Source organism: Homo sapiens, chromosome 8 (genome assembly GCF_000001405.40).
Source record: "Homo sapiens chromosome 8, GRCh38.p14 Primary Assembly".
Lineage (NCBI taxonomy): Eukaryota > Metazoa > Chordata > Mammalia > Primates > Hominidae > Homo > Homo sapiens.
Window position 1 is genome coordinate 50,925,273 of NC_000008.11, and position 16,692 is coordinate 50,941,964.

The 16,692-nt window shown below is 32.9% G+C and overlaps 1 long non-coding RNA gene across 2 annotated transcripts; it reads right to left on the minus strand.

Annotated features, from left to right (window-relative positions):
- Positions 1-1,219: 1,219 nt before the first annotated feature.
- Positions 1,220-9,508, minus strand: LOC105375830 (uncharacterized). 2 transcript variants are annotated; one of them, XR_928865.2, is made up of 4 exons: positions 9,422-9,508; positions 8,950-9,189; positions 8,730-8,778; positions 1,220-1,604 (listed from the first exon to the last, which is right to left on the minus strand). It is a non-coding gene; the product is annotated as an uncharacterized LOC105375830 (long non-coding RNA). The 2 variants fall into 2 exon arrangements; XR_928864.2 differs by having other exon boundaries at positions 1,220-1,607.
- Between the last annotated feature and the right edge of the window lie 7,184 nt (positions 9,509-16,692).

Genomic DNA, 16,692 nt, shown 5'->3' on the forward strand with positions numbered 1-16,692 from the left:
TTAATCTTTAAATATAATATTTGCTGCAGATTTTTATGTTTCCTTTATGGGAAAAAAATAAATGTTTACAAATATTTATGTAATAAGCCGAGTTTGAATTTTACGAAGTATTTTCAGTCTGTTGACGTGATGCTATGATTGTTCCTTGTCTCAAATGGGAACCCAACATAACATTATTGGAAGAGTCTAACATAGCTTTGATTTGTTATGTGTACATGATAGGTAAATAGATAGGTAGATAGATAGATACAGAGATATAAAGATTCAGATACAGATAGAAATTGGTGTATTGTATGAAATAAATATTCATTTTTTTTTTTTTTTGAGACAGAGTCTCATTCTGTCGCCCAGGCTGGAGTGCAGTGGCAGAATCTCGGCTCACTGTAATCTCCACAACCCAGGTTCAAGCAATGCTCCTGCCTCACCCTCCTGAGTAGCTGGAATTACAGGCACCTGCCACCATGCCCGGCTAATTTTTGTTTTTTTTTTTTTTTTTTTTTTTTTTTTTTTGGTAGAGACGGGGTCTTGACATGTTGGCCAGGCTGGTCTCGCACTCCTGACCTCAGGTGATCCACTGTCCTCGGCCTCCCAATGTGCTGGGATTACAGGCATGAGCCATCACACCCAGCCAAAATATTCGTTCCTTATGTTAATTTTCTTAACATTTTCTTTAAGATTTTTATATGTATTATCCTGAGACATATTGACCTATATTTTCTGTCACTTGTAATGTCCTTGCCAATATCAAGATTAAGCTGATCGTAAAAATATATGGAATGAAAAGTTTCACCTTTTTCCATTATCTGGAAGATTTATTATAAGATTGCTTGTTTTTTCTTTTTAAATATTTAAATGATTTACCAATAAAGTCATCTGGGCATGACATTTTTGTTGTTTTGCTGTTGGAATGATTTAACGATGCTGAATTAGTTTAATAGATTTTGGACGTTGCATCTTTTAAAATTGATTATTACACCCTCTTTTATTAGTGATATTTGTTACAAATTTGTACGTTTAATCCAAATTTTAAAACTTATTAGCCTAAATTGTTCACAATGTTATCTTCTTATTGTACAAATTTTATATTTTATGTACTGATGTTATTTTATTATAGACAGTGGTTTTATGAAACTCTTTTATCTTGACTACTTTGGTTAAGAAAAAATTTTATCATTTTATTATCATACTTACTAAAATAATCCAAACTAATTTATGGGGTACATCTTGATTTTTTTATTCATTGTCCATATAAGCCTTATTTTGAATTATAACTTTCATACTTTGTTTGGGGAAAAAAACAAAAAAATTGAATAAAATACTGCAAGCGATGTTACATTTTGAATGTTCTAATGATGATGAAAGCATTATAAAACCAAAGACAGAAGCCATTGTACATCATCGTTTTTGAATTTGAGATACCTTTTTTTGTCAATATAAAGTTCAATTAAAAAAATAGATTAGACTGCTCTTGAAAATATCTGTAGACTATGTTAAAATAACAGAAGCAAAAGAACAAAAATGATGTATTGCAACTGAAGGATGAAGTAAAGGAGACTCTTCAGAAGCATTTGACAGTCCTGTAGTTCTGGGTACTGACTCGATTCCTGCTACAAAAACAAATAGTAAAAAGAATAAAATTAAAATATCATAAAGAAATTTCTAGGAACATAAATTTAACCCTGAAAGAATGAAATACAATCTATGAGACATAACCACCAAATATTATAATGATAAATACAATGGATGCTACATGTGCACAAATTTACATGTTATAAATTAAAGGAAAAGCCCATTATGTTATATAAACCTAACTTACACTAAAATCTCCAAATTTATTAATGATTCCACCAACATTTGCCAATATTAACATTGATTTTCTCATGTTTATCTGTAATTTGCAGTGCTGCTCAATAACATATCAGTATAATATTATGTCAATATTTAGCAAACATGGTATGTAATAAGTAATGATCTAACATATCTCAGAAAGAGGAAGGCGAAATACAGAAGGAATAAAGATGATTCTGAGAAAATGATGGTTGCCTCTTTAAACTTGCCAGTAGTTTCTATGTACAGTAAATATTTCTCAAATAGGCCAAAGCAATCTTTCCAAGCTTTTGGATATTTATAAATATAATTAATATGGGGAAAATCTTATTAAGAAATATATGTGCTTCACTTACAGAAATCTGAGTAGAAATACAGAAGAACATTCAAGAAAAAAATATGTGAAAAAACAGAAACTTAAATTTGAGAGTTATTGACTGTTGCAATTTTAATCTCCTCTTCATACTTAATCATTATATTTGTAATATCTCTATGGCCAATAATCTTGATCACCTCCAACTCTAATAAAGCTTACAAGCTAGCCTTGAAAAGATCAAGCTAACCTCAAAAAAGTTTAACTCCTTGGTAATAAAAACCCAAAACTTTTTAAAGGAAGGAACTAATTACAAAATCACAACACAAAATACAAAAATCATGAAAACAATGATTCAAATATTTGACACCAGTCTAAAACTTTTTCTGAAATATATATTAATGTAACCCAAAGTTCTTATCTTGATTTCAAAATTCTTAAATTACCAATTCATGAGTGTCATTCATACCACTCTCCCCTGTCCCACGACACTGTAGAATACCTCGTTTCCTAGAACTTCCACCACATCAAGTTTATTTCTGTTTTTAAATCTTTGACATTATGATTCCTTTGCCTAGAATATCCTCTATAAAATTCTTTATTCATCTATAAATTAAATGTTTCTGAATCATTTCTATATCCCAGGAGCTATTCTAGAAGCTGGGGAGGCAACAGTGATTAAAAGAGGAAAGGGGACCCACCCTCAAGGAACCTATGTCGTAGTTGATAGGAATGACAGTAAACAGGTTAAAATGTATATTAGAAGGTGAGAAATGCTTAAAAAAATAAGATAAGCAAAACAGGCAGTGTCCATTAGGTAGTCTGGGCTGTTATAAATGATAAATAAACAGGTTAGTTATGGCTATGATAAAGTGAGAAAGACTTGAAAAAAGTGATGGTGTTATACATGAGAATATCTTGGGAAAACAGACTTTTAGGTAACAGTAGATAGAAGGAAATGAGACAAGAATGTGTTTGATTTATTTAAAGAGCAGCAGTAAATTGAGTGTCTGAAGTAGGGAGAACAATGAAAAAGGAAAGATAATGAGATACAATTAGAAGTGTATTTATTACTTAAAACTAAATGGGAGCCTTTGGAGTTGGAGAAGTTATGTGTAAAAAATTGCTATGGACTGAATTGTTCCCCCCAAGCCCCCAACAACCCCCTAGCTCTTATGTCAAATCTCTAACTCCCAATATGATGCAATTAGGAGATGGGGCCTTTGGGAGGTAATCAGAATTAGATGAGATCACAAGAGTGAGTTTTTCTTTTTTCTTTTCTTTCTTTCTTTCTTTTTTTTTTTTTAAGATGGAGTCTCACTCTGTCCCCAGGCTGAAGTGAGGTGGCACGATCTCGGCTCACTGCCACCTCCGCCTCCCGGGTTCAAGCAATTCTTCTGCTTCAGCCTCCCGAGTAGCTGGGACTACAGGCGCACACCACCATGCCCAGCTAATTTTTGTGTTTTTCATAGAGACGGGGTTTCACCATGTTGGTCAGGATGGGCTCGATCTCTTGATCTCATGATCCACCTGCCTCAGCCTCCCAAAGTGCAGGGATTACAGGTGTGAGCCACCGCGCCTGGCCAAGGCTGGGGTTCTTACAGTAGAATTAGTATCTTCATGAGAAAAGAAAGAGAGAAACATATCACTCCTTCTCTGCCATGTGGGGACACAGCATGAAAGTGGCTGTCTGCAAGCTGAGAGCCCTCATTGGGAACAAAATCTGCTGCCACCTTGATCATGGACTTCTCACCCTCTAGAATTATTTTTTAAAATGTTTATTTTTTGAGCTTCCCAGTTTATAACATTCTGTTATAGCATCCCCAGCATGATAATGCAGAAGTGTTATGAATATAATTTCTGACTTAAAAGGAATATTCTGGCTGCTGAGTAGAGAAAACAGTCTATGAGAGGTAGACTAGAGGCTTTTCCAATAATACAACCAGGAATGTTTGTGATTTGTACTGCATTAGTAGTGATGAAGATGATTAAATATGTTTGGATGTTATTTCCTCTGAAATGCCTGAGATGTATAGAACAAAATAATATGAGGATGATTAAGAATGACAAAAGAGACAAAAATTTAAAAATTCTCAGAGTTCTCACAAGGTGGGAAGAGGTTCAAGCTATAAAAAGCTAGGATGGAGAGTGCTGATTAATCACCCAAGGTATTCAGTGGAAAACCCAAATGTGTCATATATAAATGGCAGGGCCAACTATCACTACAATATACACTAACTCATACCAACTCTAACAAAGCTTAAAACAGCCTTGAATGGATCAAGTTGACTTGAAAGTAATTTGACACCTCAGTACTAAAAACCCAACACTTTTTAAAGGATGAAACCAAAATTTGCACAATTATGTAACAAGGATGATTTCTAGCATTTAATCAAAACTGCTAGACATTCAAAAGGAGAAAATGTGACTCAAAACTCTGACCAAAAAAAATGGTCATAGGAACAAATAAATTACGAAAAGGGTCGACTTAGCAGAGGACTTTCACGAATCTGTTACTAATGTGCCCAGTGCTCAAAGATTCAGAAAAAAAAAATAGAAATATCAAGAAGAGAAAATGGATGATATAATAAAGCAAAGAGGTACTTCTAGAGATTAAAAATAGTATCTGAGTTTAAGTTAATTAGGTGAGTCTTAGCAATGCAATAGACGGGGCAAAAATAAAAATTCAGTGAATGACAAGAGGTAACAATAAAAACAAGTTGACCTAAATCACAGTGAAGAAAAAAAATCACTGAAAAAAAAAAAGAATGAACAGAGCCCCAGTGGATTGTGGAAATGTACAAAGGCTAACATATGTGTAACTGGATTTTCAGGAAGTATAATAGAGTTCAGGTGAGGAAACATCCATAACAAATGTTTGAAAAGAGAATGGCTGAAAATATTCCAAATCTATGAAAACCAGAGGCTCAGAGAGCCAGAATTATTAACCAACCTGTACAAACTTAAACAAATAAAACCACAGAAAGCCACAGTATAATCAAATTGTTCAAAATAGCTATAGAGATAAAAAACCTTAAAGGTAGCTAGAAAAAGAAAATCATTTCAAAAAGCTATAATCAAGAATTTATAAAAATCTAAATGCATTTGCTTGCATCTTCAAAATGCATGAAGAAAAAAAAATTGAATGAGTCAGACGCATTCACAAACATAGTTGGAGATTTTAACATTCCTTTCTCATTAATTGGTAGAACAACTACACAGGAAAATCATAAGAAACTTGTCCTAATTAAGTTTTCTATTTAACACTCAATCAAGCAACAATATACACATGTCTATCCACACAGTGCATTTACCAAGATAGACTATACACTGAGCCATAAAACATTTTTAAATAGAAACAAATAACTGAAATTGTACTTGGTACATTCTCTTAAAACAAAGGTAATAAATTACAAAGCATTAACCAACAGATATTTGGAAAACCACCAAATATTTAAAAATTTAATAATATGTTTTTGTTGTTATATAATACATGGATAAAAGAAGAAATCACAAACAAAATTTGAAAATATTTTGAACTAAACAGAAATAAAAATTACAAGATATCAAATTATATGATGTAGTAAAACAATGACTATAGGGAAATTTAAATGTTTATATCCAAAAAGAGTAAAGGTCAAAAACCAACGATCCTAAGTTTCCACCTCAAAGTCTATATTTTTTAAAGAAATATAATTAAAGCAAGTATTAAAAAAACAGCAAAAATCGGTAAAAAAATTACAAAAATATAAAAGAATCCCACAATTATACCAAACGCTGTATGTATTTGCATGTGTGTATTTTTAAGAAATAAAATGTATGTGCTTCTAGGTAGACTGCACAAATAATTACTAATATAAGGAATTAAGCAAAAAATAAAGAGATCCTATAAAAACTTAAAGATTAAGAAAAGAATATAATTTTAAATAATAAAAACAACAGATTATTCCTCCAATTCAAAATATTCCGTATGAATATAAAATAAAAATCCTTAACCGAATTTTAACGACTTGAATCCAGTGATATATTAAAAGGGTAAAACACTATGACCCTTTGGGGTTCACTTTGCAAATGGAAGTCGGGTTTAATGTTCAAGATTTCTGAATGTAATTTACTATGTTAACAAATTTTTTTAAGTGAATAATAATTACAGGAAATGCATGCAAGTCATTTGGCAAAACTTCAACACCAATTCATGGTCAAACTCTGCCAACAAAAAATAGAAGAGAACTTTCTCAATCTGATAGAGAACATCTAAGGAAAATCTACAATAAACATGATACTTAATGGTAAAACAGTGCTAAATTGGGTGATATGATTTGGATCTGTGTCCTGAACCAAATCTCATGTGGAATTCTAATCCCCATGGTTGGAGGTGGGGCCTGGTGGGAGGTGATTGATCATGGAGGCGATTGATCATAAGGTATATTTCTCATGAAGGGTTTAGCAACATCCCCTTTGTACTTTTCTCATGATTATGAGTGAGTTCTTGGGCTACCTGGTTGTTTAAGTGTGCAGCACCTGCCACCCATTTTCTTGCTCCTGCTCCAGCCATGTGAAGTGTCTGTTCTTCCTTAGCCTTCCACCATGCTTATAAGTTTCCTGAGGCCTCCCCAGAAGCTAGCAGATGCCAGCATCATGCTTCTTGCTTCCTGTAAAGCCTGCAGAGCTGTGAGCCAATTAAACCTCTTGTGTTTATAAATTACCCAGTCTCAGTTTTTTTTGCTCATAGGAATGTGAGAATGGACTAATACAATGGGTATCAAGACAAAGGACATTATTCTTTTTATTTAGCAATTGTGCTGGATGGCATAGCCAATGCAATGAGACATTAAAAGAAATAAAAGTCATTCCCCCCCCAAAAAAACCTAAATAGATCTTTATTTATAGATAGTATTATGTATCTAGGATATACTAGAAATTACACAAAAAATGGTTCTAGAACTAATAAATGAGAAAAGTCCTAACATATGAGGTTATTATGCAGAAAATAATTATATTTCTATAAAATAGCAACAAAAATTAGAAACTGAAATTTTAAAAGTATCATTTGTAATAGAAGTCTAAAATATGAAAACTTGAATTTAATGAAGTAAGTAGAAAAATGTTCAATTTAAATCTTAAAAAGCACTTCTGAAAGAAACTTAAAATTACCTATATAAATGGGTAGATATTACATATTGAGATTGGAAATTCACTATTGTCAACGTATAAGTTTTCCCTAAATTGGTCTATAGATTCCATGTAATTCCAGTAAGAATTCCAGAAAGTACTTTTTGTAGAAATTAACATTCTGAGTGTAAATTTATATAAATATGCAAGACATAGAGAATTTGAATAATTTTGAAAGAGCACAGAAATTTTGGAGGACATACACTATTTTATTTCAAGACTTACTATAAAGCTACAACTGTCAAGACAGTTTGGTGTGGGAGTAAGTACACTGTTCAATGGGACCAAACAGAAAATCCAGCAATAATAATTGCGGATGTGGTTAAACACCTTTTTGATAAAAGTGCCAGGGGAATTATGAAAAGAATTTGTTTTCACAGATTGTCCTGGAACAACTGAATATCTATTTAGTAAGAAAAAGATCTGTAACATTTACCTGGCACCATATCCAAAAGCCAAGCTTTAAAAATATACTATACTTAACTTTAAATAAAAGTTATAGAATTTTTAGAAAGAAAAGGTACAGAGAAAAATGCTTGAAAACTTGTATAAGGCAAGCATTTTTTGGATAGCATGAATAATACTTAAAATATTAAAAGAACAGATACTTCACACAAACACATACATATTTATATATCATTTTATATATTATATAAATGTGTATCATTTTATATATTAGACAAATTTTATTCTTTGGTGCTTACTGAGAAATAATAATTACAAAAAGTATGTCCATACAAAATTCGTACATGTATTTTATTTTGTCTATTTTTATAAAGCAAAATGTTAAAAACAACTCACATATCTATCAAGGGGATAATAAATGACCAAATGTAATAAATCTGCAGACTGTAACACTACTCAGAAATAAAAAGAAATAAACTATGATAACCACAGTACATTGATTAAATCTCAAAAACATTATATAAGAAAAAATAACCAACATAAAAATAATACACTTTACTATTGTGTTTATACAAAACTTTAGTAAAGACAAGTTTGTAATTGCAGATAGGTGATCAGTGACTTCCAGGAACTTTTCACATGAAGGGAGAATATAGTCAAAAGAAGCATAATTAAACTGTATATGGGATAGAAATGGTTTAATATTTATGGTGGAATGCTTAGGTCTATATATTTATTAAACTTACTGACCTATACACTAAAACTGGAGGTACTGTATCTTAAAGTATACTTAAAGTATAATTCAAAAAAGTTGATTTTTAAAACAAAAACAGAATCAAATAAACCTTTTTAGTCTAAATTTTTAAACATCATTTTCCAAACTTAAGTGAATATGAATTTTAAATCTTAAATATTTTTATGATTAATTTTTTTATTTAGGACATATACCAATATCTTGAGAGAAAGTACTATGAAATTATGAGATTATAAAATGTTTAAGTAATGTACTTACAAAGTCCAGAAATATATTATCCATAAGGGTGGCAGGGTAGACTAGCGCTCTGAAAAACAGAAAAGTACATGAAGATATGTTATTTAGTGTTGCCAAACTTACCAGTTTTTTAAAAAGAAAAGCTATAGACCACATTTTAAGTGAATATTTCTAATTCTTCAGTGATTGACAAGTAAGTGCATTTTTGTAATATTTCTTTTGTTGTTATCTTAGTCTTTACCTGAGATGCTGTGAGCATTGATATCCTTTGCAGTGTAACCACGGTTCTTCAATTGCTGCTCTCCTATTTGTTGCAAGTCTCTGTTTATTTCATCGCCTATTCTCCAAATAAGCCAAGCTCATTCTGACTGTAAAAGTTTTCACTTGCTTTTTCTTTTTCCTGAACATTCTGATCCTACATCTTCATATGACCGGTTTGTTCATGTTCTTCAGGCATCTGTTCAGATGCCTCTTCCTCAAACTGCCAAATAGTATTAGTTTACAATTAACATCTTTGTTTTATCTCCATTATAAAGCACAGGCAAACAAAGAAGATTACAGCATATTAGAACAGAAGTCCAAGTGCAGAAACCTCTCTGTAAGCATGTTAAAGTAGAAAATCTTAAACTATATTAGACAAATTGCTAGAGGTTCACTGTAGTCAAGTTTGAAAGATAAAAGCTCTAAGAGGCCTAGTTTGTTATGAGTTTTACCTCAGCGAGCCCCAGCAGTTTCTCAATTGAAGCTCAGAGAAAAATCTCCTCCTGCTTCTGGCAGCAAGAGGGGAAAAGCAGCCAACTGGAAATAAGGCTAATACCTTTTGTTCTTTTCAACGAGTAAGGTCCTCTCTCAAGGGAAGTTACCTTTCAAGAGCCTCAGTGACATAGAGAAAAGAAATGCCCCACCCTAGTTGATTTTAGTTTTCCAGGTGGCGAGAAGGAAAATACCCAATTTCATTCCATCTAATCTTCCTGTTTAACCAAAAAGGCAATTGGGAAAGTCACATCCTAAGGGCACAGGCTCACTAAAATTCTGAGAACTATTGTAGATCTATAGAACAGTATTCCACCTACCACCCCTGACATTTCTTATCACTATATCAATAGGATTTTGGTATAATAACAAGGAAATACAACTGAAAGAACAATACACTTCAGACGTTATTTAAGAAGAAGGCTCTAAGAAAACCCAAGGACGACAGAAGAGAGCAAAACAAGAAAACCAGAATGAATTTTAACCTCTGATACCTACAGCTGCAGAAAATATTAAACACAGCTTAATTTTTAGCCATATAGACATAAAATTTTATATTAAAGACCTGTTAGTCCCAATTCCTCAGAACATTATCTTTCAAGAGATACTAAAGAGCAAAGAAACCCTACAAGTTGAAGAGACAGAGCAAGCCTCAGAACCAGAATCAAATATGGCAGAGAAGCTGGAATTATAAAAGTGCAGATTTAAAACTACTATGATCTCAATGATTAGGGCCTAATGAAAAAAAAGTAGATAACTTGCAAGTACAGATGGGTAATGTAAGCAGCAAGATAGCAATTTCAATATGAATTAAAGATGCTAGAAATAAAGAAAACCTGTCTTTATGAAACGAAGAATTCCTTTGATGTTCATCAATACACTAAACATAGCTGAAAAAAGGAATTGGTGAGATTGAGATTGAAGCAGAAAACTAACAAATAAATCTTGGACTTAAACTCAACAATTGGCCAATTGTACCTAACAGACATCTACAGAGTACTTTACTGAACAACCACATAATATATATTCTTCTCATCTGCACATGGAACATATTCTAATATAGACCACAGAGTTGGCCAAAAAGCAAGTCTCAATAAACTTAAAAGAAAAAGAAAATCATACCAAGCCCACTCTCAGACCACAGTGCAATAAAAATAGTAATCCATAGAAAGATCTCTCAAAACTGCACAAAAACATGAAAATCAACCAACTTGTTTCTAAATAACTCTTGAGTGAACAAGGAAATTATGGCAAAAATCAAAAAATTCTTTGAAATTATTAAAAAATAGAGACACAACTTACCAAAACCTATGGGATACAGCCAAGAAGTTTTAAGAGGAAAACTTATAGTGCTAAACACATTCATCAAGAGGTTAGAAAGATCTCCAATTAACAAGCTAACATCGCAACTAGAGAAAATAGAACAAAAGAATAATCTAACCGAAAAACTAGTAGAAAAAAGGAAATAACTGAAATCAGAGAAGAACTGAATGAAATTGAGACTCAAAGTCCATACAAAAGATAATGAAACTGAGAGATGGTTCTTTGAATGAATAAACAAGATATAGGACATAAGCTAGATTAATGACAAAAAAATGAGAAGATCCAAGTAAGAACAATCAGAAATGACAAAAGCGACTTTACAACTGCTCCCACAGAAATACAAAAAATCCTCAGAGACTATTATGAACACCTCTATGCACACAAATTAGAAAATCTAGAGTAAATGGATAAATTCCTGGAAACACACAACCTCTCAAGATTGAATAAGTAAGAAAGTGAAAACCTGAGCAAATCAATAACAAGTTTGGAAATTGAATCAGTAATGAAAAACTTACCAATCAAATAAATCCATGGAGCAAATGCATTCACAGTCTAATTCTATCAGATGTAAAAGAAGAACTGATAGCAATTCTACTGAGACTTTTCCAAAAACTCCAGGAGGAGAGGCTTCTCCCTATTCATTCTACAAAGGCAGTATCATTCTGATACCAAAATCTGGCAGAGACACAATAAAAATTGAGAACCTTAGACACTATTCCAATGAACATAGATGCAAAAATTCTCAAGAAAATGCTACCAAATTGAATCCTATAGCACATAAAATTTAATTCACCACAATCAAGTAGGCTTTATTTCTGGGATGCTGGAGCATCACATTGTGTAACTTCAAACTATAAGGCTACAGTAACCAAAACAGCATAGCACTGGTACAAAAAGAGACACATAGGCCAGTGGAACAAAATGGAGAACCCAGAAATAAACCTGCACACTTACAACCATCTCATTTTTTACAAAAGTTGACAAATGGCACCTTATAAACTAAACAGCTTCTGCAAAATAAACTACTAACTGCATAAACAGAAGGACTACAGAATGGGAAAATATTTATAAACTATGCATCTGACAAAGGTCTAATATCCAAAATACACAAAGAACTTAAACAAATCAATGAACAAAATACAAATGTCCAATTTAAAAAAAAAATGGGCAATGGACATGAACTGACAATTCTCAATGGAAGATACACAAGCAGCCAACAAAAATATGAAAAAATGCTCATTATCACTATTCATCAGAGAAATGCAAATCAAAACCACAAGGAGATACCGTCTCACACCAGTCAGAATGACAATTATTAAAAACTTGAAAAACAACAGATTCTGGTAAGGCTGCGTAGAAAAGGGAATGCTTATATACTGTTGGTGGGAATGCAAATTAGTTCAGCCACTGTGGAAAGCAGTTTGAAGATTTCTCAAATAACTTAAAATAGAAGAACCATTTACCCCAGCAATCTCACTACTGGATATATACCCAAAGGAAAATAATTCATTCAATCAAAAAGACACATGCACCCATATGTTCATTATGGTACTATTCACAATACGAAAGACATGGAATCAACTTAGGTGGACTGAAGGAAAATGTGGTACATATACACCATGAAATACTACACAGCCATAAAAAGAACAAAATCATGTCCTTAGCGGCAATATGAATGGAGTTGAATTAATGGCCATTGTTCTCTGCAAGCTAATGCAAGAACAGAAAACCAGATGCTACACATTCTCACTTATAAGTGGGAGTTAAACACTGAACACACATAAAGTTGTTTACAATAGACAGTGGGGACCACTACACAGGGAAGATAGGAAGGGAGCACGAACTGAAAATCCAACTATTGGGTACCGTGTTTACTGCCTGGATGATGGGATCATGGGAACCCCAAGCCTGATCATCACACAATATACCCAGGTAACAAACCTGCATGTGTACAATTTAATCTATAATAATAGTTGGAATTATTTTTTAAAAACTTTGTGTTGACCATATTTTAAAATCTTATTCTCATCCTTAATTGATATAGTGAGCCAATAAATTAGAAAGTTTATTGCATTCATTAAAAGATGCTCCATTATTGCTGAAAAAATAAACTTTAATAGAAATTCCCAAGAATGAAATAGCAATCCCCAAGAATGAATGAAACTTTGATAGCAATCCCCAAGGATGAATGAAACTTTGATAGCAATCCCCAAGAATGAATAGCGTTTCCTAAGAATGAGAGAATTCTCATTCTCCATAAAATGGAGAAAAAAATAAAAAAACAGAATAGTAAATCTAATAACTATGGGAAAATTAATTAATGTACAACAAATGCATAATGGGACTACCATAGGAAAAGAAAGTTATGAAATATTTGAGGCAATAATAACTGAGAATTTAACTAAATTAATGAGACACTGATATGGTTTGGCTCTGTGTCCCCACCCAAATCTTATCTTGCTGTTCCCATAATCCCCATGTATTGTGGGAGGGACCCTGTGGGAGATAATTGAATCATGGCAGCAGGTCTTTCCCATGCTGTTCTCATGATAGTGAATAAGTATAATGAGAACTGATGGTTTTGAAAATGGGAGTTTCCCTCCACAAGCTCTCTTCTCTTGCCTTCTGCCATGTGAGATGTGACTTTCACCTTCCGCCATGATTGTGAGGCCTCCCCAGCCGTGGAAACGGTAAGTTCAATAAACCTCTTTCTTTTGTAAATTGCCCAGTCTCAAGTACGTCTTTATCAGCAACATGAAAACAGACTAATACAGACACCAAACAATAATAGATTCTGCATCTCAGAGAATACCAAGTATGCTAAGTAATTTGTTTTGTTTTGTTTTGTTTTTGAGACTGAGTCTCGCTCTGTCACCCAGGCTAGAGTGCAGTGGCTCTATCTCAGCTCGCTTGTGCAAGCTCCACCTCCTGGTTTCACGCCATTCTCCTGCCTCAGCCTCCCGAGTAGCTGGGACTACAGGCACCCGCCACCACGCCTGGCTAATTTTTTGTATTTTTAGTAGAGATGGGGTTTCACCGTCTTAGCCAGGATGGTCTTGATCTCCTGACCTCGTGATCCACCTGCCTCGGCCTCCCAAAGTGCTGGGATTACAGGCGTGAGCCACCGCACCCAGCCAGTAGTTTTTTAAATCTACATCTAGGCATATCATATTCAAATCCCATAAAATTCAAAGAAGAGAAAAAGATTAGAAAAAAGTCATAGAAAATAAAAACATTATCTATAGAGGGAAAGTATAAAAAGTGCATCAGACTTCCCTTCAGAAACCATGCAAGAAAGAAGAGAGTGGAATGAAATATTTAAAGTGTTGACAGAAGGAAAAAAAAAACTAGTAACCTATTAATTGAAAGATAAACAACTTTTTTAAACAAATAAAGCTTGAAGAATTTTCTTTTACTGGTATGTGTGTTTCAAGAAATATCAAAAGAAATTCTTCAGAAAGGAAGAAAATGATATAGTCTGACACTCGGGTCTACATTAAAAAGATAGAGCCGTAGAAAGGAAACAAATGAAGGTATAATAAAATTGTAATTTTTGTTCTTAGTTGATATAAAATATTCTTCAATATAATAATAGCAAAATATAGAAACAAAGCCATATACATGGTTATATAGAGATTGAGGAGAATAAGTGAATAAATATAAATATAAGTGGATAAAGAAAATAAGTGACAGCAATGTTATAAGTAATGAGAAGGAGAAATTGAGAATAATCTGTTATAAGTTACAGTACTCATAAAGTAGAATAGAGATATCTGTAAACTCAAGGGAAACCACTAAAACACTAAAAATAGCCTAATTAATGTGCTAAAATAATAGACAAAAATAGAATCCTATAAAGTACTCACTTATACCAGAGAAGATAAGAAAAAAAGTGGAAGACAAAAAAAAACAGCAGAGAAAATGGCCACACAAATAGAAAATAATTTCAAATATGGTAAATATTAATGTAACAACTTAATTATTTTAAATTTTAATATGCTAAATACACCAATTAAAAGACAGAGTCTATAAGAGTAGGTTAAAAAAACTGACTGCACATTGTCTAGACCTTCTATCAGTAAAAAGATATACATTAAAATTTGAGGAGCCAAAGGAAGCAATGTTAGGGTAAGCCAAAGGCTAATATTTGCTGTTAGTTTTCCACGTTTTATCTTCTTTGAAAAGAACTTCTCATATTTTGGAAAGGAAGAGGCTATTCAAACAAACTAGTGACACTTAAGGCACAATTTGTAAAGAAAAACAATTTTATATAAAATGTTTTGAACATTTAGTTCATTTAGCTAATGGAATGTGTTGTCTATTTCAAGTGATAATTTTTATTTAAAGAGTATAATAAAACAAGTTAAATGTATCTTTGAACCATGCATCATTATATTCATAATCTTAGCCTATTTTTCTGATTTACTTTTATTCTTTGAGGTTGCATTATGTTTAACACATATTTGTAAAGTAAGCATGGTATCTCATGGTAAGATGAGCCCAGTGCCTAAGATAAAAAATGAGTTAGTAAACTAGGTGTAGTGGCTGAACTTAAAATAATTTAAATAAAGAAACATGGGAATGTTAACAAATTTTAATACCTGGAGGCTTTCATTAATTTTAAAGCTGGATTTAACTAAAACTGTTGATTCATTTTAAATGACTTTGCAACTTAAGCCACCAATTATTTGTACAGCACACTCATATTTGGAAGAACTAAAATAGCCCATTGAGGTGAGTAGAGAGATACCACCTTGAAACACTAGTTTCAAGTAATCTCTATACTGTCCCTGTTAATAAAAAAATTTATTGTCATAGTTTTTCAACAAAACTTTTAGTGATTTAGCCTTTACTTAAACAAAAATTAGAAATCAATTTACCCTACAGTTTAAGACTTTAAAATAGAATATATATATTTTTAAAATTTTTGGTTTGTAGCCTGTTTCTTTTGTTTCCATATGCAGGTAACAAAAAATCTGATCTTGTTGGCATAACTTTATGTTTACATTTTAGGATTACAATCAAAGTATGGTTAAAAAAAAACCTTATCAGCTTCCAATTGTGCAGAATGCCCTGGCTTTGTTTTCTAAAAAGTAAACTATCTTTGTTCTCTAAAAAGTAAACTTTCTTTGTTCTAAAGAATTAAGACAACAAAATATAGCCATGCCAGCCATGCCTATGTTTATAGCAGACACAAGGTAAGGCTGTTGTTTTGGTTTTTCCCTGGAGACTTCTTAAATGAGGTCTGAGATGTGTAGTTCTTTCTTCTTTCCTTCTTATTATGCAATAGTTCGTTCCATTGGTGTAGTGACAAGGTGTGGGGAAGGGGAGGCATTCTACAGTCCTGTGAGGAGGTCTCAGTCTTTTAGGGTGCCTGTGCTCCTACGCTGTGACCTTCGCAGGTTTATTTCTCCTTAAGTGAAGCAGAAAGCTTAGCTGGAGCTAACGTTTTGTATTTTTCTTACTCCAACTGGCAGTTTAGGGAGCTGGAATTGGGTACTTCTTTCCTTCTCCTGGATTGGTCAGGCTCAGGTATAACAACTTCTCTTGAGAGCAGATCTTGTTAAAAACAGGATTTCTGGCCTTACACCAAAATAAATTTTGATTTATTTCCCTGCCAGAAGCACGAAGGGATTTTCTACCAATCTTCACTGTGAGAACTTGGTGGGACTTCTGGATATAAAGCTCACAAAATTGTGGCCCCTTTTTATGACTGCCACCTTGGAGTTTTTCACTCTCAAACTTGCCCATGCTGAGCCTCCTGCAATTCCTCAATTACACTTAGGTTTTTCTGCTTTAGTCAGTTCTCACAGAGGTTTCTGGTTAGGTAACTTTTAATTTTCTGTGTCCATCTGTTTTTCTGTTCAATGTTAGGCCAGTGGTTTGCTCTGTTACCTCAGCTTTCATA